The sequence below is a fragment of the Homo sapiens genome, chromosome 2 (genome assembly GCF_000001405.40).
Source record: "Homo sapiens chromosome 2, GRCh38.p14 Primary Assembly".
Taxonomy (NCBI): Eukaryota; Metazoa; Chordata; class Mammalia; order Primates; family Hominidae; genus Homo; species Homo sapiens.
The window spans coordinates 29,873,045-29,900,295 of record NC_000002.12 but is presented as its reverse complement, the minus strand read 5'-3'; the positions used below and the strand labels follow the sequence as shown (position 1 = coordinate 29,900,295).

Here is a 27,251-nt window from a genome sequence, read left to right as displayed (position 1 = left end):
GTGGCCCATCTCCATTGACACTGCTCAGGTGGTACCCCATGCAGATTCTCTACTCTCTTTTCTCTTCCCCTGAGATCTATTTAATGATAAATGAAAGAATGCATGAACTGGCCTACTCTCAGGATAGATCTGTGTGTGCTTTCCAAAGCCCATTCATCTGGGCAAGACAGGGAAATTGGCGTGGGCCAGAGCCCCTTAAAATGCTCTCAGGTCAGGTCAGCCTTTCAGAGAAGAGTGGCTAATAGTGAGGATTTTAGGTCAATGAAGAGGCGAGACCAGCTGTGATGCCCATGATGATGAAGCCCACGAAGCAGCCACTGCAGTGCTTGGCCCATGGTAAGTGCATCCTGAACCTTCTAGTTAGAATACATTTGGCTGCAAGTAACAGAGACCCGTTCAGAGTAGCTCAACAATCAAGGGTGTGGTATTTCTTTTTTTCTCTTTCTTTCTTTTTTTTCTTTTTTTTTTTTGAGATGGGGTCTCACTCTGTCGCCCAGGCTGGAGTGCAGTGGTGTTATCTCAGCTCACTGCAACCTTTGCCTCCCGGGTTCAAGCAATTCTTCTGCCTCAGCCTCCTGAGTAGCTGGGACTACAGGTGCATGCCACCATACCCAACTAATTTTTTGTATTTTTAGTAGAGACGGGGTTTCACCGTGTTAGCCAGGATGGTTTTGATCTCCTGACCTTGTGATCCGCCTGCCTCAGCCTCCCAAAGTGCTGGGATTACAGGCATGATCCACTGTGCCCAGCCCTAGGGGTGTGGTATTTCATGTGAGAGCTTGAGAGCACATGTGACTCCAGGGTAGGTTAATTCAGCTGCAACATTACAAGCTCAAGAGCCCAGGCTCTCTGTCTTTCTACTCTGCCTTCCTCAGGGTGAGTAGCCGCCCCCAGGGTGATGGGTGGCTGCAGAAGCCCTTGGCACCTTCACACACAGCTGCTTGCAGGGGGCAAAAAAGGGGCAAGGGTCTTTGGAGAACAAAAATCTTTCCCGAAGGCCCTCACTGGATTTCCTTCTTTGTCCCATTTGCTGGGGCTGCCTCACACGATGCCAAAGTCAATCACTAGAGAAAAGAACACAATTCATAGTCTCAAGCTCGAGTGCACATCAGAGTCACTGGAGGGTTTGTTAACACAGGCATTGCTGGGCCCCATCCCCAGAGTTTCTCATTCAGTAGGTCGGGGGTAGGGCCTGAGAATTTGCAGTTCTAACAAAACCTGCCGGTCCTGGGGCCACACATTGAAATGCATTGATTTGAACTATTCAGCAATCATCTCCCAGGCCCCTGAAGTACCTAGAAGCCCCAAATCTGAAAAAAAGCAGAGGCTCTGTGAGCAAGAAGGAAGGAGGAAGTGCCTGCCAGGTAGTCACATCATCTTTAATTTTTGGAGTTACAGATGGATATCAAACACTGAGATTAGTAGACCACCAGAGGTGGTGGTGGTGGCTTCTCTCCTCCCCACCCTTTTCTTCTGTTCCTCCTCTTCTTCCTCACTGTAAACTTCGGTGCCATCTGAAGCTTCTCTCTTTCTGAACATCACATTCTTCCTTGTTTTGTAATGGGTACACCCAAAGCTTACCATGTTGGGGACATTCAGTCCTGTGGCAAGGGCTGCTGGTCTTTCAGTGGAAGCTGAGCTGCCCGAGCTCAGCCATCAGGGAGCTTGATGTGGCGGTTACTTCTAAATGAGCACTCATTATTGATGTTAATTGAACTTGAAGTTAATGAAAAAGGATTATTTTACAGGGCTTAAGTTGAGGCCAAAATTGTTATTACAGGTTAATTATTATCCTTAAAAGGCACCATTACAGCCATGATTGTTTTTTATCAGCTTTTTCTCTGGTGCTGAGATTTCTTCGAAGGCAGATTCCTGATATAATTAGTCACCTCATCTAATTCTTAATCACCAATCACTTCTCTCCAGATAAAGGTTAATCAAAGGGATGTGAGTTGGGTACTCTCCCTTAATCGCATTTGATCAGTTTCAAACAAACCCTTTCTTCTATTTTTGTTTAGGAATGTGGCCTTTCCCCGTATTTTCAAACCTAAAACTTGGAAGAAGAATTCAGAATGGGTTCACCGAAAAAATCAGACAGGCCTGCTATGGACAGCTCTAGGCTGCCTGGGGCTGGGGAAGGTGGCAGGAAAGAGAGGCCCTGAGGCCATGGAACTGTGTCACCTGCTGTCCTTTCTCTTCACCCTCCCTCTTTCTTTTATTCTTCCCTTTCCCTTTTCTCTTCTTCTAGTCTTGCCTTTACTCCTTCCATCCTCCAACTTCATTTTCACTTCTGTCTGACTTCAAGCTCATAATTTTGCCTTTGGATATGACTGCTTTTCTTTCATCTTCTCTTTCCCCTTTCCACCTCTCTCTATAGCACAAGCCTGCACACTGGGCTAGAACTAGGGGGAGGCTGTTTGGCTCCTGCTACTGAGGAAATATAACATGGGCCACAAGAAGGACTCTCACCGTACCCAGGGAGAAGGGCAGGGTACAGGAGGGGCATGGACATTTGAGGAAAGCCTGAGAAGGGTAAGGGCTCTTCCTTGAGAGAAAGGGAAGGCTGAAGGGAATAGGATTGAGTTACACAATTATAAAAAGTCCTAGGTAGAAGGAGGAGAGATTTAATCACCAAATCCCAGGGTAACTGAATGAGAGAGGAGGTCTTGAGGCTTTAGCACCCTGTCTCACAGTGCCACACTGCTGACTGGTGGAGGGAGGAGCCATCAGGGAAATCCTGCTGAAAAGCCTCCCAAGAGAATCCTCCCTGGGGCCCCCACCCCACCACCTCCCACTCTGATGTCCCTGGTAACAGAACAAATGCACCCTTCCCTTCCTCTTTACAATTGTTTTTAAACTGAAGTATTATTTATGAAAGTGACATGTGAATGTACTCTCCTTTTTCTTTACTTTTTCCTTCTTTTTATTGTTATTTATTTATTAATTAATTTTTTTTTTGAGATGGAGTCTCACTCTGTCCAGGCTGGAGTACAGTGGTACGATTTCAGCTCACTGAAACCTCTGCCTCCGAGTAGCTGCAGAACCACTTGCAACCTCAGGTGGTTCTCCTGCCTCAGCCTTCCGAGTAGCTGGGATTACAGGCACCTATCAACATGCCCAGCTAATTTTTGTATTTTTAGTAGAGACGGGGTTTCACCATGTTGGCCAGGCTGGTCTTGAACTCTTGACCTCAAGTGTTCCACCCACCTCAGCCTCCCAAAGTGTTGGGATTACAGGCATGAGCCACCGCGCCTGGCCTCTGCTAACTTTTTAAAGGTGGATTGTAGATCTCTATTTACATCTATGTCTATCTATATCTAAGCTCTGCTTTGCTCAAAACATCAACCTAGGCTCTTTCTCCTTCACTAGAGGTAACCTGTGTTAATAGCTTGGTGTGTATTCTTCCCAATATTTCCATGTATTTACACAATACAGAAACCTGCCTGTGTGAGGTAATGAAAAACCCAAGCTGAGCATCTTCTTACAATGAACTTTTACTGTCCAATGGGATCATGTGGAGGTGCGTGATGGAGATTTTATTCTTCTTACAATGAACTTTTATTGTCCAATGGGATCATGTGGAGGTGCTCCACACTTGTCTTAGCTTGCTAGAGCTGCCATCAGAAAATCCTACAGAATGGGAAGCTTAAGCAGCAGAAATTTATTTTCTCACAGTTCTTGAGGCTAGAAGTCCAAGGTTAAGGTGCCACAGGTGGGTTTCTCCTGAGACCTCTCTCCTTGATTTGCAGGTGGCTGTCTTCTCTCCTTGTCCTTGCAGAGCCTTTTCTCTTTGTCTCTTCCTCTTCTTATAAGGATGTGAATCCTGTTAGATTAGAGCCCCACCCTTATTGACCTCATTTAACCTTAATTACCTATTTAAAGGCTGGATCTCCAAATGCAGTCACATTGGGGATTAGGGCTTCAACAGATGAATGAACGTGACTCAGCCCGTAACAGCACAAAATCTGCCCTCCCAGCTCTGTGCTTTTGTCAAGACATTCCCTCTTGGGGGTCGGAGGTACCCTTTGTATTCTTCTTCATCTTGGCAAATGTTCTTCGTACCTTAAGTCTCCACTCAAATGTCAACTCCTCTAAGACCCATTTCCTCTGCAGCCCGGCTCCCTGCTTCCACACAAGGGCTTTGTGCTCCCCAAGAGCTTGTGACCCCTGCCTTGTAGGAGCTCTTTTTGTCCTGCAGCTTCTGTGGCAGTTTGTCTCCCTGCACCCACACTACCATACCTACTCTCCCATTGCAGGAAACAGTTCATGGATCCTAGGGACACATTCAGTAAGTTTCCCTTACTTCAGGATGGAGAGAGCTGTGTCAGAATGTTCTGGCATCAAACACAGGTTGTGGGGAATGTAGGGAAGACCAGGGAAAAACACAGACCCATAACCTGTAGCCTACCCTCTTTCTTCACCCCAAGCCACTGAGAATACTGGACAGCCAGTATCTCACTCCTGTGGTCCTCTTTTCAAAAACACATCGGCCAAAAGAAATGACCTAGGAGAGCAGATAAACTGGCCAATAAGATGGTAATTAAGCAGATGGAGGCTCACAATGAACTGTTGAATTGAGATGGCTAGGGATCTCCTGAACTAAGCCACTGGAAGGACTACTAAAAGGCACATATCATCTAGAAGGAATAAAATAATAAACTATGGCCAATCATGCAACACTCATTTAAAAGACCATGAATTCCTTTCTGCATTGTTTCCTTTCTGTGGGTTTCTGAAGGCATTGGTGTTGTTAAGGCATTCTGGTGCTGGACCATAGTATAGCCAGGCTCACAGCCACAGACCAGGGATCCCTGGAGCTGCAGCTTCCTGCTTCCAGCCTCAATTCTTGTCTCTCTGCCAAGCCTTTCAGTCTTAAACTTTCAGCTCATTGCCCATTCTCCTTTAAAGAAAAGCTCTGTGTTTTAACCTTTGTTCACTCTCAATGTCTTTCGGAATGAAAAAAGACTTTCTAATGGAATCCCAGTGCACTGCAGTGTGGTCTGCCTTCCCAAGTTGTCACCCCTCCACAGTGCAGAGTGCTGGGGAGGAGGTCATCCCAAGTAACAACTTTCAGAGCTAATTAAGGTTTTACATCATTCTAGAGAATTAGGATCAACCAGCGGCCCTTGTGTGTAACTTGCCAAATCCAAATCCTGCCTTATCTCCAGGCATAAAAGCTACATTAAGTTTTAAGACCTGATTCAAAAACACATTATGGATAATGATGACACCTTGATATTAAGTCTTCAGAAAGGAAGCACATGACTTGACATATGGAGCACATGACTTGACATATGGAGGTTTTACCACTGATGGAAACATGGGGCTTTTTATGGTTCCCATTGATTGTTAAACAAATGCTACATCTCTCTATAGGAGATATTGACCACCAAGTGCATTTAAGAGGAGTATGTCGGGGTGTGTGTGTGTGTGTGTGTGTGTTTGTGTGTGTGTGTGTGTGTTTGAAGCATCACATTCTCACAGATACTAGTATGTTCCCGTCATCCTCCTAGAAAAGCAAAATAGTTGAGAATTAAAAGGGAGTCCAGAATCACAGAATACTGCATTCAAAAAGGTGCTTTAGAAGTAAGAATGAAACATTAATAGAATGATATCACCCTGATTTTTAAAATTTAATTTTTCTGTACTAGAAGAAATTATCCTGGACTTGAAGTCATTCTGCTTGGGGTTTTGCTGGTCCCCACTAATTTACTAAGTTATCTTAGATAAGTTATTGATAGTTTTTTTCCCTGCTCCCCCTCCCCAGGTTATTGGTAGTTGTGAGAGCTAACACTTTGTTGAATGTTTTCTCCCCTGCAAAAGTCAGGCTTAACCTCCATTTCTCATGTAGCCCTCCCAGCAATGCCACGTGGGGGATAGTATTGCTTTTCCCATTTCACAGAGGCTTAGAGAGGTTGTCCCTTGCCCAAGTATCTCACTGTTCAGTTGTGGAGCAGGAGCTCAGGACTCCTGGATCCCCAAACACCTGCCCTTAGCCCCCATGCTATGTTGCCTCCCCTGGGTTTAACACCACCATCCACAACAGCAACAAATATTCACTGGGGGCTACCATGAGCCAGGCACTGTGAAGGAAACAGACATGGCCCCTGCCCTCAGAGTTTGCAGATGAGGACAGCCAAGTTCTCTCTGGGTTTCTTGATCATTTTCTATTATAAGAAAAGGGTTTGGGTCCTTGACACCCCTTTCAACTTGAAAGTTTATGAGCACTTAAATTATTTGCAGTGACTTCTAGTTTTCCATTTCTTCATTCGTATCACCAGTTACATGCTTATATTGGGTGACTGTCATGTGCCAAGCACTCTGCTAAGGGTTTTTGTAGAACTACTGAATTTTGTCCTCATATCAGTCCATAAGAGACTTTAAATGAGGAAATGGAGGTTCAGAGTTTACCTTGCTCAAGGTCATTCTGCTTGTAAATGTCAGAACTGGGATTTGAACCCAGCTCTGTCAGCTCCATGCTTTTCCCCATAGAAGAAACTTCTTGAGCCACTGTTCTTGAAATTCAGTAAGTTCCATTCATTTAAACAAGCTAATTTCTATTATTACAGATATTATGGAAACAGTAATCTACGTAACTGAGTCATCTGGAAGCCTGTGCTGCAGTCTGCTTATTAGAGGCAGGATTGTATACCAGGGAATTCAGACCTGAACAGGACCTAAACCTTGGTGTTTGGTTGCCAAGCTGAGAAAGAATCCTGGAACATTCCCCACAGTGAAAGTTAACATTTTGCCACTTAGAATCAAATTCGGGAGGTTGTTAGTTATAACAACAATAACAATAACACAAAGAACTAATATTTATACACCTCTTTATAGTTTCCCTGGCCCTTCCACATCCATTTTCTTATTTGATAAGAAGAAAAGAATAATGGAATGAATTGGGAGCTGGTGAACATATAAAATGATATTGAGGCTGCATGGCAGAAAGTCAGAGCAATGAGAAAAAGGAGCAGGGTCACTCATCAGAAGCAGATGGGCTTATCTTTAAATACCTGATCAGGAAGGCAGCTGAGCAGTAGATAAATGTAAAAAGGACCATGAAGCTGAGAATAAATGGAGCAATCTTTTTCTGAATGGAAAGTGGCTGAAATCCCAGGGCCAGGGAAGGGGAGGGGTGGAAATATTCAAGAATTATGGCCTGAGAAGAATCCCTAAAGCTGTCAGGCAGCAGGGGCGACAACAGCACATCAGGAGTGGCCCAGAATAGATGGCCCCATAAATCAAGGAGGGAAACATTATGGCCAGCGCAAGGCAGTACTGTGCCCTAATGGGGAATGGGCTGGAGGACTTTATAAAGCTGGGTTGGCCAGGCTCTGGGCACAATGGAATTGACCAAGTCAACCTTGGAAAGGCTCAAAATTCAGCATGTTTTAAAAAAATGGACTAGTGGGTGCTTAGATCATTCTGAGTATCCACAAGTCATTCTCCCCCCTCTACCACAAGCTTACTTAAAAGGAAGAAGTATTATACACAGTTGGGAAGTATGTGTGTGGGAGCAGGGAAGAAGATGCATTCTCATTGCATTAATGTGCGTAGAGTCAGTCTGGAGTGTGGGGACAGTCTGGGCTCTAGCGTGGGTGGTCATGGTGTCAAGTCTTAGGTCTGCCACTTACGAATCATGTGACCAATCCCTTCAGCTCTCAGCCTTCAGATTTTCTCTATAGAACAGGGACAGTAATACCTTAATAATTGCTCATTGTGAGGGTCCAATGGGCTGATTGATTGTAAAGTGCTTAGCACAGGGTTTAGTGCAGATAAGTGATTAGAAGCAATTATTAGAGGGGACAGTGGAACTACCCTTCATTCAGAAATCACAGTCCAACAGATGAAGAGTATAGTGGACAGTTTTCACTTGGTTATGCTGCGTGAATAACCTCAAATTCTTGATACTTTCCAACAACTTTATTATTGATGTTGCTTGTTGGTGCAGTGGGATGGCTGCTGCTCTTCTTCAGGCTGTCAGTAGATTCAGATCTGCTCCATGCATCTTCCCATCCTGTGATTCAAGATGAAAGGGCATCTCCTATGTGAGCTGAATATTCTCAGATTGGAGGAAACTAGTGCAAGAGAGCTCTGAGAGCCTCTTGAAACTGCCACATTGCCCCTTCTGCACACATTCCAATCAGCAAAGGAAATCTTGAAGCCAAGGCCAACATCAGTGGACAGGAAACCACATCCTTCCATGGTGGGGGTGCAGGTAGTAGGTAAGACTGAATATTTGCAAGAGAGTAATAGGGTGTGCCTCAAAGGGCATGGTTAGGACCATGGTTGTACATAGAAAGCCGGTTGACTGGGTTAGGGAGAGATTGGTTGAACTCAGTCAAGCCACCATTTACTAAAGCAAAAGACATGTGGTCAGAGAATGAGCTTTTGCTGAATCTTTCTCTTGATGCTAGCATTGTACAGAGAGAAGCTGGATGTCAGGAAGACTGTGCCCTTCCTTGCAGTCCTGCTGCATCTAAGCTTCCACCTGTGACATGGCACTGACCTTCCTTATCAGCCCCTTCAGCTCCTAGGCTTGGGTAGCATGTGGTCCCAGGGAAGTGTGAACTGATGGTGAGTCATTCTCTCTCTAAGCAGTTGGATGTGAATATTAACACTTGTTTCCCAGGCAGCATCAGAATTCAGCATTTTCTTATAGTTCTTATGGTTCTCCCCAGAACTATAAAATGTTCTACTTTATGGGCCTCAGATTTGTCATTTTTAAATGAGATGGGATAGAGTGATCTCTAAGGCCATTTGCAGTTCCTATGGTCTATGACCATGATGATTTTACAAGTGTAGAGAAGGCATCTGAAGTGCTTGATCTGAAACATGCTAATGCAGATAAGTGTTATGTCAACATTGTGCTTATTTAAGATGCATAGTGTTACCCACATTACTGTAAGTAGAGATTGTCACCCGGCATCCTCTCTAGGTCTCCTGTACCCTGGAGTTTCTCCTACTCTCACCTCTTTTTAAAAATCTGCTGCAAGACATCCTTAAACTGTGCATGCCTAATCATTGTTAACACTCTTGAAGAAGATGAGCCTTTACCCCCAAAGGAAGGCCTTTCTAATACTGTGATGTTACAGGTGTATGGAGGAAGACATTTTAGGGCAGGAAGGCCCCTCTTTTTCCTCTATTCCAATTTGATAAATACTTATAAAGCATCCATTAGGTTTCCCCCCAAGCTATGTGCTTTCATTTATGTTGTCTCTTTTAATCCTCACAAAACCCCCTTGAAGAAAATATTACTATCCCCATTTTTATAGATAGAGAACACCGAGTTCCAGAGAAGTTAACTTACCCAGTCATACAGCCAGGAACAGCAGGTGTGAGATTCAAACTTAGGTCTTCTTCACTGAAATTTCCATTCTATTCAGTTCCTCTTTTATTATGTTTTGAGAAGATGTGTGCTGAGCTATGAGTTGGGGGCTTCCTTCCAAGACTTGAGAAGTCTTCTGGCCTGTGTGGCCTGAGGCAAGTCTCCAATAACACAGAATTGAGGCAAGGGAACGGTTAGCTACCAGGAGACCTTGGTTCTTAGATGGGGGGACACAGCTGATTAAGTCACTGGCTTAAGATGAGTCGTATATGTGAAGCAGGACTGATGGCAGCTACCCTGCCACCCGCTCAGAGATTCAGAGGGGCCGTGGAGAGAGAATATACGTAAAAATTCTTTGTAAACTGTTTAACATCATTCAAATAGATGACAATGTTGTTGGTTCTCTTTAGAAGGAAATGGGAACAAACCTAACTGCCATTTTCCCTCAACAGAGGTTCTGCCTGAAAAGGCAATCCTGTCCCCTAAAATGTTTGTTTTGAGGGTTCTAGGACACGGCAAAGAATATCACGCCTATAACCTTTTTGTAGTAGAGAGTACAACAGAGAATTTCAGACTCACTTTTAGAAAACTCAGGGCATAGAAATCCAGATTTCTACCAAAGGCATTGGTGGATTCAGGCCCAGGCCTGTTTGACTCTGGAAACTTCCACTGTTTCATTCTGAAACAGTACTAATACTTAGGTTAGGTATGGTACTAAAAGGGGTTACCAAACATAAGACATAGCCCCCTTCATTCTAGTGGCACATGGTCTGCTTGAGGTGGGAAAAGGCACACTGACATAAAACAGCAAAACCAAAGTGCTAAGGGGCAGAGGGCATAGAGTCAATTGTCAAGATAAATGCCTGGTTAAAGACCCAGCAGAGCTTGTCTCTCTCCTACTTGCAGATGCTCTATGTTCAGCTGAGAGTGCAAATGGCCTGGAAATCCTTGCTTAGGGGACTGGAAACCTCTGGATGTACACGTTTTGAAGCATTTCTCTACAATGTCTTTGTAAAGCATCTTGCTGTCTTGGTTTTTCAGCTTGCTTTCACAAGAGGGTCCAGCAACAGCTGGTGGTTGTTCTTATCCTTCAATAACTTGGGTCATAAAGAGATGAAATGACTACACAGTCATCCAGGACTAGCAGTACTGGAGTCTGTGTCCATCACAGGGCCTTTATGCACCTCACCTGCCTGCCCTCCTGGTTTCTCTCTCTCTCTCTCTCTCTCTCTCTCTCTCTCTCTCTCTCTCTCTCTCTCTCTCTCTCTCTCTGTCTATCTATCTATATAGATACAGATAGATAGATATTCCACAACAGTACTGGGGGTCTGTGCATGGCCAGACCCAGGAAGTGGGTGTTTTCCCCTGCTGTCTCTCTGCTGTCACTTTCTCTCGGCTGTCACTTTCTCTCCACAGCCTCCCCACTACTATCTATCTATCTATCTATCTATCCATCCATCCATCTATTATTTAAAGGAAAAAGTCATTTTAAAGAAAATAGATCCTGTGGGAATGATAATTTATAACACCTGATAATCTAGACATTGCCATATTTTATCAAGAGGTTTACATTTCCTGTAATCCTGCTTTGAATGGTATCATTCCTTAAATAAGCAAGTAAACATTAGTAAATAAAATTGTGTTAACATTGCTCATTAGCTTATATGTGATATATATAGAGAGTATATGATATATATGTGTATATATATATATGTGTATATATATTTTTCCTTTCTTTCCACTGCAGAGAAACCATTGTATATCCCTGGAAACATTTATTTCTATTTAAATGTGCTTTAAAATGCAACTAAGTAAAAAGACAGAACTTTTTAAGAAGAAAGCTTAATATAAATCTAGCCAGACTAGATTTATATTCAAAGTCACTTTTTGGTTCAAATTAACTTCTACTCAGTGGTTTTCAAACTGTGTTTGGAGACAGAGATGCTCCCACAGTTGATTCAGTCACAGCTACTCACTCTTGTTGGTTTTATACATTGGGATTCCCCTTAGGACTTCACTTAACAAAATGTTCTATTTCAACTAAACAGCTTGAAAATTCCACTTTTACACCAACAGCGAGTTCCCCAGGAGTCAGAAGGAAATGGTGTATTGGATGTTACGGTAACAACATTTTTCTGATTGTGAGGAAACATCTTAGAAATTGGCATGTAACTTTTTTTTAAAGTGGTTTTTCAATGAAAATGTAAAAGATGCAAAAATTTTGGATATAGTAAGAGGGACTCCTTTTTGGGAAATTAATAGGAATTCATGGACATATATCAAATTTTACTTCTGTGAAATTTCAGTACTCCAGAGCTAATTAGGTATACTGAACAGAAATATTAACAATTCCTTTCAGGTAAGCTGGAGCGTGCATTTCAATGCCACTGGTGCCATGTGCCTCTGAGTTCGGAAGCTGGTTCGGTAGCTGGAACAGCCCACCCCAGTGGAAATTCTACACAGGGCAAAATCTGCACTTGTTTCGATGGGAAAAAGGGAAAAGTCCCTTTAAAGAAAGTTGGTCCTATGGGAATGATAATTTATAACAGCTGATAATTAATCTAGACATCACCATATTTTATCTTGATGTTTATATTTCTTCTAATCCTGCTTTGAATTGTATCATTCCTTAAGTAAGCAAGTAAATGTTAGTAAATAAAATTGTGATCATTGATCATTAGCTTAATACATAGTTTCCCTTTTTTTAAAAAAAAAAAAAAACAATTTATTGGACCATGTGCTCAATGTCTACAGGCCCAATCCTCCACAGCTAGGAACAGCCATGGTAATTGGATAATTGACTTATATTGCCAGAAACCAAGACATCAATATTTACTAGTTAGCAACTAGCTGAGTCACAGCTATCCCACGAGCCTCTAAGAGGTGATAAACCACCAGTGAGTCCTCCTCTCACAGTTAGCTTTTTGGACTTACTCTCTCCTCAAAGTGGATGGTAGAGAAAAGGTACCCAGAGGGCTTTATGATTACCTGACCTGACATTCTCTGCCAAAGGTTTTCCTGGTAGCCCTTTTAGGTTCTCTTGTGAAATCTAAACACAGGGATGTTTCTTTCTTTTGAAGTAAAGGTCTCTTAACATAGCAGTCCTTCCAGTAAGCACAAGAAAAGATTGGCTGTCTGAGTTTTAAATTAAATGAAGCTAACCAGGAATGAGACAACAGGAACAGTAACAGAATTTTGGTGCAATGGAAGATACAACATAATGGGCTTGTCAAGCCTTTCCTACCCACAGTGTGACTTTTAAAATGTCCATACTGGCATCACTTGGGAATCTGTTAAAAATGTAGAATCCAAGGCCCAACCCTCAGGCCTACCCAACCAGAATCTGCACTTTGACAAGATTCCCAGGATGGCAGTTTAAAAATATAGGCCCAAAGTCCTTGATCCTCTCTCATTGAGAGGTGATGGGCTCTATGTCCCTCCCCTTGAATCTAGGCAGGCTTGTGACTGTTTGACTAATAGTGTGTGGCAGAAATGACCCAGGATGACTTCTGAGCATAGGACAGAAAAGGTCGTGCAGCTTTCTCCTGATTCTCTTGAGATGCTAACTTTGGGAGAAGCCAGCCGCCATTTAAGACTTCCAAGTGCTCTGAGATACCCATGAAGACACTGTGGCCAACAGCCCCAGCTAAGCCCAGACTTCCTGCTATTCTTGCTAGATTGTCAGGCATATGAATGAAGCCACCCTGTGCCCTCAAGACCAGCTATCTGCCAGCTGAATACCAACAAGTGACTCCAGCTCATGCCACATGGAACAGAAGAATCAACTAGTTAAAACCATGCCTGAATTTTGTAACTATGGCATTTATGAGATATAATACAATGGTTGTTGCTTTAAACCACTAAATTTTGGGGATAGTTTGTTAGGCAGCAAGCTAACTGTAGGCCCAGTAAAATGTGAAAGCACTGGACAAAACAGCAATAATCAATCATTCAGGGAGGCATTGAGAAAAGTCCACAGAGTAGTCAAAATGCTTGGGTGGGTTAAAATATTCCTGATTTCAAGTGAGAATGTTCCTCATTCAGTCTTTCTCTTCCCTTCTTTACTGTGTAAACCATGGGAAACCTTCTGATAAGAATTTGAAAATTGGCATTTAATAAATATCCAATTTGCCAGGTGTTGAGCTAAGCGCTGTGCTGTGTTATATCAGCTAATCTTCATAAAAACCTTTTGAGCTAGGTATAATGATTCCCATGTTGTAAATGATGGAACTGAGGCCAAAAGGGGTGATATAACTTGTGCAAAGTGAACTTCTGGAAGTTAAATATAGGTCTGTCTTACTTGAGTGTCTCTTTCACCCGGGTTTTGATGGCATGAGACTGAGATGCACTTGACCACAGTCCTGACAAGGTAGTGTTAGCTAAGGGCAATCTTCCTTCTTTCTCTTCCCTTGTGGGAGGAAGTGGACATGGCTGGGGCCATAGGCCTGAGTTTTGAGTTACATCTCTTTTTCTGTTTAGTCTCTTATAAAAGGGCTAACAAAGATGAAGGTACAGGCAAATAGATAGGTATAGGGCCAGGGTACTACACATGCATGATGGATTATTCTTAGTTAACTGGCTGAAATGTACACTTGACTTTTCAACAACCCCTGCACAGTTGACCCTTTACACAGTCAAAAATCCAAGTAGAACATTTGACTTCCCAAAAACATAACTACTATTATGATTAACCACTAATAGCATACTGTTGACTGAAAGTCTTACTGATAACATAAACAGTCAGTTAACACATACTTTGCATATTATGTGTATTTTATACTGTGTTCTTACAATAAAATAAGCCAGAGGAAAGGAAATGTTATTAACACAACTATAAAAAAGAGAAAATACGTTTACTATTTATTAAGTGGAAGTGGATCATTACAAAGGTCTTCATTATCTTCAAGTTGAGTAGGCTGAGGAGGAGGAGGAAAAGGGTGGGTTGGTCTTGCTATCTCAGAGGTGGCAGGAGCAGAAGAGGTGGAGGAGGTGGAAGAGAAGGCAGGAGAGGCAGGCATATATGGTGTAACTTTATGGAAATACCTAGTAATTTCTGTCTGACTTTTTTGCTTTCTCATTTCTCTAAAAATGTTTCTATACAATATCAATTCTTCTTCCACCATGTACTTTAGTTTCAGCACCCTCATAGAAGGATACATGTTGCAAAAGAAGTAAAAAGTAGTTTTGAGTAATTAGAACCCTTTTTCTGGATTGTCTACTGTCAATTTGTTTTCTGGAACTGCTTCTTCTGTGTCTTCCTCCTCATCATCTGGCACTGGTTTGGAGGCACTCATCTCCATCAAGTCATTTTCTGTTAATTCCTTTGGTGTGGTTTCTATTAGCTCTTGAACTTCTCCAACACCCATATCTTGAAAGCATTCATTCTCCACCCTTTTTTTTTTTTTGCCATATCCATAATCTCTTTCATGATTTCCTTGATTGTCATAAATCCTGCAAAGTCATATACAAAACCTGGGCATGGTTTTCTCAAGCAGGAATTGATTGTTTTGGGCTTGATGACTTTCACAACGTTTTCTATAACAACAGTGGCATATTCAATGGTGTAATCCTTTCAGACTTTCGTGATGTTCTGTTTGTTGGGGTTCTCTTCCACAGCATTGACAATCCTTTCCATAGAGTATCATGTGTAATGAGCCTTAAAGGTCCTTGTGACCCCCTGATCTAGAGGCTGAACTACAGACATTGTGTTTGGAGGCAAGTAGAATACTTCAGTGCCTTCATTGTTGAACTTACAGGTTTCTGGGCAACAAGGGGCATTATCCAATATCAAAATAACTTTAAAGGGTAGTCCCTTACTAGCAAGGTACTTCCTGATTTTAGAGACAAAGCATTAAGGACACCAATCCAGAAAAAGGGTCTCAGCATCTAGGCCTTCTTGTATAACTCCAAACCTGTCGCTTTTCTCTTCAAGGTTTAGGAGTTAGCAGCTGTATTGATAAGTCCTGATCATAAACCCATCTGCATTTGCACAAAATGGTAGAGTTAGCCTATCCCTTCCTCCCTTGAATCATGGTGCTCACTTCTGTTCGTTACTCATAAATGTGCTTTGTGGCCATTTCTTTTCTGAGTAGGGTACTTTAATCTGCATTAAAAATCTATTCAGGCAGATATCCTTTCTCCTAGATAATTTTCTTCATGGCATCTAAAACTCTTCTGTTGTCTCTTGGTCAGCAGAAGCTGCTTCCCTGTTATCTTGACATTTTTATAACCCAAACTTTTTCTTAAAATTATCAAACCATCCTTTGCTGACATTACCTTCTCCAGTTTTAGATCCTTCACCTTCCTTTTGCTCTAAGTTGTTACATAATAACTTGGCTTTTTCTCAAATCACATTAGACTCTATAGGTATGGCTTTCTTATAACAATCCTGCATTCATATAAAAGCTTTATTTTCAATCTGACATAAAAACGTATTTACCCCAAAGTGCAAGGTTTTTATGCCTGCAGGTGTAGCCACAGCAATGGCTTCACATTTTTTTTTTTACAATGGTCTTTATGCTGGATTCATTTATCTTGAAATGGCTGGCAGCTGCAGACCTCAATCTATGGCACATATCAAGCAATTCATCTTTTTCTTGTAACGTCATGACTTTTCTCTGCTTCTTGGGAGCAGTTCCAGCATCACTACTGTCACTTTGTATGGGTCCCATGGTGTTATTAAAGGTTTACAGTATTGCACTAAACATGATGAATAATATGTGAGAACTATGAGAGATCACATTTTACTATGATATGAAATTTACTGGAGAGAAAACTACTCATGTTTTTTTTAACATGAAGATTTTAAACAGATTCAACACTTGACCTCTTGCAATAGTAACAGGTGGTTATGAAACTATTACAGTAGTACAGTATTAACTAAAATTAATTTCATAGTTATGATTTAATGCTGCATCTTTACATTTGTTCACATTTCTCTCAATTATGAACAATGCCATGTACAGTCTGTGTTTGTGTGCACAATAAGTTTTAATACATTTTAACTTATAGATTTGTGTATGTTTTATGGTAGTAAATGATAAAATAGACTAGTATCTACATATATTTTATGATTCATAACATACATAACTTTTTCTTATTTTTTGATATTTCCAGGCTATGTACTATATCTGTGAGTTTTCTCAAACTGTCACAAATCTCCAAAAAATTTTCCAATATATTTATTGAAAAAAATTCACATGTAAGTGGACCCGTGCGGTCCAAACTCCTGTTGTTCAAAGGTTATCCATATTTAATTGGCATATGAGAAAATTCCATCTTACTCTTCAAGGAGTGAGCAGGTCTGAGCCTAGTTTTTACCCCACTGAATCTGAGTTAGTTGGCTTCTCTGTATTCATCTCTTGGGAAAAGAACATGTTTCAATTCAGCATTCTTTACTGAGGGCCCCTGTGAGCCTGGTGTTATGCTAGACACAGTTGGGGAGATACAGTGGTAGACAAGTCACAGCACCCATCCTCAGAAATTCATCATCATGCACCAAGGAATATCACAGGGCAGAGGCCAGAGGATGGAGAGTCTGGGAAGGTTTTCTGGTGAAGATGGCCTAAACCTGGGCCTTGAAGGAATTCACTGAAAATAAATGAGCTTAACAGCATTAAGGCAGTAGGATACTTAAAGGAAAAACCTAGAATAAGGAAAAGACCAGGTTGGGGAATGGCTGGCAGACCTCAGTAGCTGGAGTTAGCACAGGCTTGGTTGCTGGATAACCATTGTTTTGACCTGCCTAACAGGGAAGTAAGGGATTCTTTAATGCTGTACTTCTTTTCTTTTCTTTTCCTTTCCTTTCCTCTTTTCTTTTTCTTTTTCTTTTTTTCTTTTACCTTCCCTTCCCTTCCTTTCTTCCTTCCTCCTTCCTCTCTCCCTTCCTCTCTCTGTCGTCTCTCTCTCTCACCCTCTGCTCCCTTCCTTCCTTCCTTCATGAAAAAATTCTCTATCAATATAAACATTAAGCTTATTTGCACTTCCGTTTATGACCAAGGAAAAACATTAGAGTAATAGGTAGAGTGACCAGCTTTAGCAAATAAAAATACATGATGATCAGTTAAGTTTGAACTTCAGATAATCACATCTGATGTTTACAATATTTGGGATACACATCACTAAAAGTTGTATTTGTTGTTTATCTGAAAGTCAAAATTTAACTGGGTGTCCTGGATTTTATCTGGCAACTTTAGCATTAGGTAAACATAAACAGCCCTTTTGACTTCTCAAGCCAGGTGAAGTGATGCCTCCTTGGTATTATCTAGTTCGTTGTCGTTGTTGTTGCCTGTCTGTCGCCAGGCTGGAGTGCAGTGGCGCAATCTCGGCTCCCTGCAACCTCCGCCTCCCAGGTTCAAGTGATTCTCCTGCCTCAGCCTCCTGAGTAACTGGGACTACAGGTGCGCACCACCACACCCAGCTAATTTTTGTATTTTTATTAGAGACGGGGTTTCACCATGTTGGCCAGGCTGGTCTTGATCTCTTGACCTTGTGATGCACCTGCCTCAGCCTCCGAAAGTGCTGGGATTACAGGCATGAGCCACTGCGCCCAGCCTGGTATTATCTAGTTTTTATAAACAAATTAAGTTTCAATTTAACTCACTGTAATGGTTTATATTGAGACATTATGTTTTGCTTCATAGTTTTTATTATTTCCATTTTTTAGAAAAATGACTTGTTTGCAATTTGTGGCTTGGTTTCTTCTTGTCTGGCTTTATTCTCTTGATTTTAAACTTTCCGGTCTGACAGTCGAGTTCTAGAAGTTGTTCTGCTTCAAATCCCTCGAGATTTGTTTTGAGGGGACATCGATGCTCTCACACCTACAGTCCTTCACAACCTTTTCATGGCCAGCTTAGAAATGATTAAGTTTATTGAGGCAACCTCAGACGGAGTCCCTGTTTGCAGATGGAGGAATTGGGTGGGGGGACTGTGATGTGTGTGTGTGGGTCTTCACTGAGCTGCTGAAGGGCTGAGGGTCAGATCAGAAGGGCAGAGCCAAAAAAGTCACACCCCATTCTGCAGGCTCCTTTGGCCTTCTGAACTGAGGAAGCTCTAGTTGTTTCTCCCTCCAATCTGCTGGGAGTAGAAACTACAGAAAATTTGAGGTTTAAAATGAGGGAAAATGGGGGAGTACAGGTAATGAAAGTAATAATGAGAAAATAATTCATTTTCACTTGGAAAAGGTGAAGAGGATCATTTTGACTTGGAAAAGATGAAGAGGGTGGGGGATTGGGAAAAGTTTCATGGAGGAAGAGGCATTTCAGCTGAGCCTTAAAACAGCTGGGTAGAACTTTTGCCCCATTCTTGCCTGTGAAATTTCCTTTCCTCTCCCAGTTCTACCTCATTACTTTGTAAAGAGTTTAAAGCCCACGCAGGAGGCGGGGAGACAGCCAGCAGCCTGTTGTGTCTGGACAAGCTGGCAGGAGGGCCCGCCCCACAAGTACAAAAGTTTGCCATGCCTGACAATGCCACCATGCCCTTTGCTCCAAAGTCAGAACAATTAAGCCCCATCTATCTTTCTTGCATCCTGGAAGACACAGAAATGCTCCTCTCTGAAATTTGATAAAAGCACCAACCTGCCAATCAGAAGAGGGAAGATCATAATTAATGATAATAGCCTGGTTTTAATTATAGCTATTTAGCAAGTTAGCAGAACAATACCAGTAAAACAGCTCTACACTGAGTGGGTCGGGAGCAGCCTGCTGCTTCCTTCAGCGTTCACTTAGTGGCCCTGGAACTTTGCAAGGCTCAGCTCTTTGGAAATGGAGGGATTGGAAATGAGGGCAAAGCAGCCTGCATTCCTCTTTCTCCAGGAAGAGATTTCTACCTTTCTCTGTTCCATACAATTTGCAGGTGCATCTAGCATGAGCTGGTTGTCCGTGAGACTACACAGTTGAAGACGGACCTACGTTCTGTTGGAGTAGAGGCAAGAGCTCAGAAATGCATATTACAGTGAGGCCCCTTAGTTGAACTGTCCACCCTTGGCTCCTTTCTCTGTCCGGGGCCAGATCTAGACTACTAAAAAGTTAACTCTGGAAGGAAATTTAGAGACCCTTTAATCCAGAGAGCTTCAAAATTTTAAAGGCCAGAAAAGCAGCTCTAACTGAAGAGGAAGAATGAGAAAGTGGCCACAAAACCTTGCTTCCAGCCTCCATCTTGCCAATGGCTATAGCCCCATGGTTGCTCCATGAAACACTTAGGATTCCTTAAAGAAGCAATTTTTCAGGCTCACTTTTATGGCATGGGTACTAGAAGAAATGTGGCTTTCCCATAACCAAGCACATAGATATTGTGAGAATTAAAACCCAGATCTCCCCTTTCCTCCGAGGCGTGTGTGTTTATGATATCCCACTTGGGCTATTCTTTCAGCACTGAAAATCCAAATATACCTAGCCATAGATCCCTGGGGACTTATAAAGTAGGAGCTTAAGTGGGGGTGGGTGACAGCCACTAAGTCAATGGCTTTTAATTTGGTCCAAAGTGGGGAGTCCATAGCTTTCATCAGCTTTTCAGCAGGATCTGTGACCCCCCAACATTTAAAACCACTGCCCTGAGGTTACTCAGCAACTCAGCCAAGGGCTCTGATACACCCCGACTTCCTGCTTCCTTCTGAGGTCAGACCATCACCCCATTCCTGCCCTGGGGTACATCTGCCTGGCCAGCTGGTTTTTCCTACTTCACAGCTAATTCTGATATGACCAGGACCCAATCAAGATAGAAGCTGATAGGCAACAAAGGTATGGAGCAGGATGGAGAGGAGACTGCCTCCCAAGGCAGCCAGGGGAAGATTTTCTCTGAGAGATGATAAAGTGGCCTTGTCATTAATGAGGCAGACATCTCTCCAAGGATGGGTCTGCAGAAAAGATGGCATTTCCCAAATCCCCTTTCTGACAAGACAGCAGCCTCTAACAGATGAAGAGGAAATCTGTAGTATGGAGCTTCTTGGATCTGCTTTAAATCTGCCATGGGACATTGGCAGTTGGAGAAAATCATCTCAGGTGATAAAGAGTTGGATTAGCATCAGATGACTGTGAAGTAATAATTTGTCCCTTTGAAATAATTCAGGCGGCCTTTCTTTTCTTTGACAGATTCAGGTCCATGAAGTTTCGGCCTTGTTAGTTATCAGATTTACAGGAAACCTACTGACTGCTTCTTACCAAAGGGAAGAGAAGTTTTTCCCTAAAAGAAAAGCATTCTTTTGGGATGAATGACCTAGCATTCATCCTTTCTCTTCCCTTTCATAAGTGGGCACGTCCTCTTTGTTTCTTAGGAACAATCACTCTGTCACTTTGGGGAGAAAAGGATAGAATAAGTACCCCATTGTTTGAGTCAAGCTGAATGAACCATTATCTTAAACGTGAGTCCTTCAGACCCTACTTTCCCATGCTGTCAGTCTCCTAGGACATGAGTGGACAGTGGGATTTGTTTGGGAGGTGTCTGATGCCTAAAGAGCTGGAGCAGAATAGTTTAAAACAGGTTGCCATAGACAGTCATTGATGAGATAAGGAGCTTGCACAAGGATGTAAATCACCTTCATCACTAAGTTTACAAGTTAGTTCAGTTGACACTTTTTTTCCTTGCAAGACCTTTTTGATGGAGGAAGCAGTGTGTTGCTGCATGCATAGTTGCACACTGCTTACCTGATCAACCACAAGCACTTTGGTTTAAAATAAGAGTATTTCCTTGTAAGCTGTTTTGTCTAAAGTTTGGAAGTTTTCCAAGCCAAATTCTTTTAGAATCCAAGAAAACTGCTTGGGGGAGGGATTCTCATTCTCTGGGTCAGGATCGTGTGTCCTGGGCTGCCATGCAGGCATAGGCTATGTGTGGACAGTAGCCCTTTAGTACCACGCAGGGGTGGGTCATATATCCTGGTTCACTGAGTTCAAAGGATCTTGTGTCTTTGGAGTCAAAGAATGCTGGGTAGAATTGACTTCTGCTGACTGACACTCCCTGGCATCAGTCCTGTTTCTTGCCTGCATACTGTGTGGGTTTTCTGCTTCGACTTTAGCCAACTAGACTACTATGTTTCTCTGCAGCATTTTGCCCTGGATTCTCTCCCTACTCCATCTACCAGCCTCACCTTCTCAACTCTGGATTCCTGGCCAGCACTGTCCCCTGATTTTACTTTCCTCTTAGACCTAGTAACCCTGTATCCCACATATCTGTCAACTACAATGCTTTCCAGCTCCCCACCCAGCTCTCTGCTGTGTCTACTGTCACTGCACTGGCTGAACCTCCATTCCTTAGAGTCCTCCTTGCTCCATAATCTCATGAGATGACAGTTCCTTTATCATAGTAATTGGCAACTTGTTTATCCTCCAAGGAAGACTGGAAATTTCTAAGCCCCAATAGTGACCTCGACCTACTAGTAACATCCAGGTCTGAGCTAGGGGAAGTTGTTTTAAAATGCCTCAACAGGACCTTTCAGCATATTTGCCTAGGAATGATGGCTAAAAGAACAAAACTTAGGCTTGGGATTAAATATGGACCTTACAATTTACCAGTTGTTAGATCTCAGGCAAGTCATGTGAGCCTCAGTTTCTCAATCTATAAAATACAAATGACTGCAGGAATGTTGTGAGAGTAATAGAGGCAGTGAACAGTGTACTTAATACAGGCTTGGCTTATAATAGTTTTCGTTATTTTCAATCAACCTCCTAGAGACCTAATTTCCCAAAGGCTTATAACTTTTTCTCTCGATTTCTGTGCCTCTTGCCCTTCCTCGGTGGGTAGAATACTGCAGCTCCACACTAATATTTCTTGGAGGCAATCAAATCCCTTTACAAATGGTAAACAGGTGGCTTCTTGCTAAACAAAAAGCTGTGTACTTGATTGATCCTGCAATCCAACAAAATGAAGGAGGTAGCTTTTTATCTTGTACAATGGATGAAAAGCCATTCTTATCAAACAATGTTCTACTCAGCTTTTCTCCCAAGTTGGGGTGGATGGGATAATGCCCTCTACAGATTATGGTAAACAGGTGGGCCCACTACCCTATAATCTGGTAGTCATGTCTCTCTTCTGGGTCTGGGAAGGAAGCCAGAATCCTAGGGTTGGGCAGAGGGAATAGGAGGTTTCCTGCCTTTGCTTTACTGGGAACCATATGGCAGCCAGTCATTCCATGGGGAAAAGCAGCCTCCTGGATTCTCCCCTAGGAGCCAGGAGGCAACCACAAGGAGCAGCGCTTTTGCCTTGAAGACCTGACTCCGAAAGTACAGGTAGGCAGAGCAGAGCCAGCGTGTGGGAGGGGTGTGGGAGTGGGGTCGTCACCCATGATATGCTGCTACGTCTGTGAAATTCTGAGCCAATGAGATAGTTGGTGGACTGAGGCCTCATGAATTCATTCAGTTAAACAATGAACTGACTTACCCACTGAATGAATGAATGAATGAATGATTACTTAATACCTACTATGTGATAGGCATGGTCTAGGCGCTAGGGATACAGCAGTGAACCAAACAGAAAAAAGTTTCTGCTGTCATGGTGTTTATATTCCAGAGGAGAGAACAGACAATAAGCCAAAAAATACATGCTGGTAAGGGTCAGGGAGAAAATGAAGCCTGGGAAGGGACAGACAGTGATAGGACAGTGGTGCTCATTTACATAGGATGGACAGGGAAGGCCTCTATGACAAGCTGGTGTTAGACCAAGAATGGGAATGGCATGAGAGACAGAGCCATGAGGATATCTGGAGGAAGAGCACTTAAGGCAGAGGAAACAGCAAGTACAAAAAGTCTGAGGTGTGAGTGTATTTTGGCTCACATCAGCCTCCAACTTAACTTATAAACAGGCAAAAAGAAGTTATATATTTATGTTTATTTTTGATATGCAAATGTGATACCACAAGAGTCAAAGGAGACACTGATCCTTAAGAAAATTACTTCGTTGAACCTCTGATAATGTAAATATGTTGGATTGGATTAGCTCTAAGCTCTCTTCCAGTTTGGAGGGTCTGATTTTTACTATGAGTCCTGGGAGGTTAGATATTTCAGGGAGAAGTCAGGACCAAGGAAGCTAAGAAAGATGGAAGGATGGACAAGAAAAAACTGGTGGGACAGGGCCTGAGAGCTGGTTCAATGCAAAGGTGGGATCTACAAACACAGAGCATTCTAAAGGGAGAAAGGATCATTATTGTCATCTTCACCTTCATTATCATCCCCAACACCACCATCATCATTATCACCACCATCATCACCATCATCATCACCATCACCACCATCATCATTACCATCACCACCATCATCATCACCATCACCACCATCACCATCACTACCATCACCATATCACCATCGTTACCATCATCACCACCATCGCCGTCACCATCATCACCATCACCGCCATCACCACCATCAGCATTATTGCCATCACCATTACCATTACCACCATCACCACCACCATCAGCATCATCATTACCATCACCACCATTACCACTACCATCACCATCACCATCATCATTACCATTACCACCATTACCACTACCATCACCATCACCACCATCATCACAATTGCCATCACCATCATCCTCACCACTACCATCACCATCACCACACCACATCACCATCACCACCATCATCACCATCATCATTATCACTATCACCACCATCACCACCATTACCACTACCATCACCATCACCACCACCACCACCATCACCATCACCACCACTGTCATCACCACTGTCATCATTACCATCACTGCTAACATTTAATGAGTTTATCATGTGCCAGACATTGGACTAAGCATCTTTTGTATTATTTCCTTTAATCCTGACAACAATAGTATGCAGTTGAGAGTATTATCCCCATTTTATGTATGAGAAAACTGAGAATCAGAAACATAAAGTAAGCTGCCCATGGCCATAGAACTGGCAAAGGCAGGGTAGATAACAGAATATAATCTCAACACACACACATATTGCTAGGCAGTGCCCGTAGTCCAGAGTGAGGATGAAGCAGAGAAAAACAGACAAGGGTGGGGAGGGCCAGGGAAACCAGAAACACCATTTGACTCAGCAATCCCATTACTGGGTAGATACCCAAAGGATTATAAATCATTCTACTCTAAAAGCACATGTACATGTATGTTTCTTGCAGCACTATTTACAATAGCAAAGACTTGGAACCAATAAAAATGCCCATCAATGATAGACTGGATAAAGAAAATGTGGCACATACACACCATGGAATACTATGCAGCCATAAAAAAATGAGTTCATGTCTTTTGCAGGGACATGGATAAAGCTGGGAACCATCATTCTCAGCAAGCTAACACAGCAACAGAAAACCAAACACCACATGTTCTCACTCATAAGTGGGAATTGAACAACGAGAACACATGGACACAGTGGGAGGAACATCACACGCCGGGGCCTGTCGGGGGTAGGGGACAAGGAGAGGGAGAGCATTAGGAGAAATACCTAATGCATGCAGGGCTTAAAACCTAGATGATGGGTTGATAGGTGCAGCAAACCACCGTGGCACAGGTATACCTATATAACAAACCTGCACATTCAGCACATGTATCCCAGAACTTAAAGTAAAATGTAAAAAAATAGTAATGGTAAAAAAAGAAATATTTTATTGTGGTAAGTGTACAATTGAGTGACATTAAGTCCATTTACAATGTTGTGCCACCCTCACCATTATCCATTTCTAGAACTTGTTCATCATCTTTAATAGAAACTCTGTACTCATTAAGCAATGACTCCCCATTCCCCCACCCTAGTAACCTCTAGTCTACTTTCTGTCTCTATTTATTTGCATGTATCAGAATTTCATTCTTTTCTGAGGCTTGAATGATATTCCATTGTATAAATATACCACATTTTGTTTGTTCTTTCATCTATTGATGGTCATTTGGGTTATTTCTACCTTTTGACTATTGTGAATAATTCTATGAACATTGGTTTATAGGTATCTGAGCCTTTGCTTTCAATTCTTTTGAGTGTGTACCTAGGAGTGGAATTGCCGGATCACATGCTAATTCTATATTTAACTTCCTGAGGACCTGCCAAATACAGGAATGTTTTCTAAAGCTCTTTAGGTGATTCTAATGTGCAGTCAGGCCAGAAGAGCTGAGTACAGGTAGGGACTGATAAGGAAGTTCACTTGATGAGCAGGGGGAAGGTGGGCACTAGGAATAAAGACGTATCTTGGTGTGAAGTCCAAGGTGTTTGTATCTGTGCCTCCAATGTCATTTACAAAGGCCCCTCTGATATGGGAATTACTACCCTTTGAATCAAGAATCCACTCTTGTCTCCCCTGTTGCTTTCTTGTGGGATTTTCTGAAAATGATTTTCCCATGTATATTTCTATGCAAACTTGTCTCATGCTTGCTTTCCTTCTCTCTTCCTGGCATATTGAGAAATGACATTGGTAATTTGGAGACAAAATCCCCAAAGAGCTTGAACAACATCAGTAGTATTTCATCTAGGTGCATGTGGGCCGGGAGGTCCTGTCCAAGGCATAGTAACTGCTTTAGGTAAGGGTTCCAGCACTAGCCCTGACTTAAATTGTCCAAATTTTCATGTTGTCTGAGTTCTTCTCAAGAGAGAGGAAAACATCTGATCTGGCTTATCTGATATTTCACTGAGTGTCTTTGGGTTTAGCTTGTCATTGCCAAGGTTTATTTCAACTATGTCAGCCTTTGTCACACGAACACAGCACTTTTCGTACTGGGCTTGAGTTGACAGTCATCAAACATTGCTTGGTCCTGGGTGGCGGGGGTGGGGTGGGGACCAGAGAAGAAAGCCATAGAGAAGGGAATAATCTCACCATTTTTTGAAGTCACAAGAACAGTCATACCAACAAGTGCTTCTGTATGCATAAATCCTTGAGCAATGGTACAAGAGAATTTGTCCATACATTCCAGTGCATTGCTATATTTGGTCAGTAGTTAATGGGTGCTTTGATGGTGGAGCAATTCCTGCTTAGGGTTGGGGAGGTCATTGTAAGGAGGATCCTTTATGGAACCGGTATTTCTTCCACTGCTAAATTTGGGTTCTGCTGAAAGAAAGTGCTTCCAGTACAAACCAGGTTCCCATGGAATCTGCTTTATTGTCCAGAGGCTACTGCTTTGTTGGGGACATTAAAAGCGATTTTGATGCCCAGAGTGGAGGTGATTATCAGGCGGTTATTGCTACCCAGTCATTATCACTGCTATCCTGGGTAATGATGTTCTGCTTGTCTTGGTGGCATTTTCATATCAGAGGAACTCAGGAAGGGTGAGTTCAGCTCCATGGGCCCCTGCTTTGCCCAGGAAGAGGCCACGATGAGGCATCTGCTTCTTCCTGTCTGGCTTCGTTTAAGACTGACTTTGACTCCAGATGCTCAATTCTCTTCCTAGAATTTGGCTTTAGGCACCTTCTGGATTCTGTCTCTGGGCATATTTCTAGCATCTTGGTTTGCTCCACTGATTTTAGTTGTCCCTTATACTTCCCATCTCTGACTTGGAACAAACCCTTGAGCACAGTCCTCATCACTGTCCCCCATCACCATTCCAGGTTTCCCATTCTCAGTGCCTGCACCTGACAAATGCCAGCACTCTGGTTCTGCCCCAGCTTCTGTTGCTCCAGTGGCATGTGCTGACCTGGCTTCAGAAGCTCTCTGGGTCCCAGCACACATCTTTTCTGCAGCCGCTTCCTCCACCCCCTACAAATGTCATTCTGGCTCTGGATATGGTATTTGGGAGTATTGAGGAGAAGAGGCATCTGAAATCAAGCCACCAAATTCTAGACTTTTTATCATTAATCATGAGAAATGACACTTGGATCTCTTGCCTGTTTGAGATGGGAGCCCATAGCACTGAGCTGTCACTTTGATAAAACATCTGTCAGTGGTTGGAGCCACAGCCCAGGGTGGATACCACCAGTGCCCCTGACTCCTGGAGGGAGTGTGGCTGGAGATACAGTCAGCTGAGGAGCTCACA

General features: G+C 42.7%; 1 protein-coding gene and 1 long non-coding RNA gene across 3 annotated transcripts in view, besides 1 other annotated feature; one reads left to right on the top strand and one right to left on the bottom strand.

Annotated features, from left to right (window-relative positions):
• Window positions 1-27,251, top strand: part of ALK (ALK receptor tyrosine kinase) — a 728,813-nt gene that overhangs the window by 21,291 nt on the left and 680,271 nt on the right. The window lies entirely within an intron of this gene.
• Window positions 4,669-5,218: an enhancer, noted in NCBI's record as "OCT4-NANOG hESC enhancer chr2:30117944-30118493 (GRCh37/hg19 assembly coordinates)". NCBI's record gives its function as "activates a minimal SCP1, AML or CMV promoter by ChIP-STARR-seq in naive H9 embryonic stem cells {active_cell/tissue: H9 hESC(naive)}" and the evidence as "EXISTENCE:reporter gene assay evidence [ECO:0000049][PMID:30033119]".
• LOC124907748 (uncharacterized) lies at window positions 7,909-8,588 on the bottom strand. Its single transcript, XR_007086266.1, has 2 exons — window positions 8,510-8,588; window positions 7,909-8,017 (listed from the first exon to the last, which is right to left on the bottom strand). It is a non-coding gene; the product is annotated as an uncharacterized LOC124907748 (long non-coding RNA).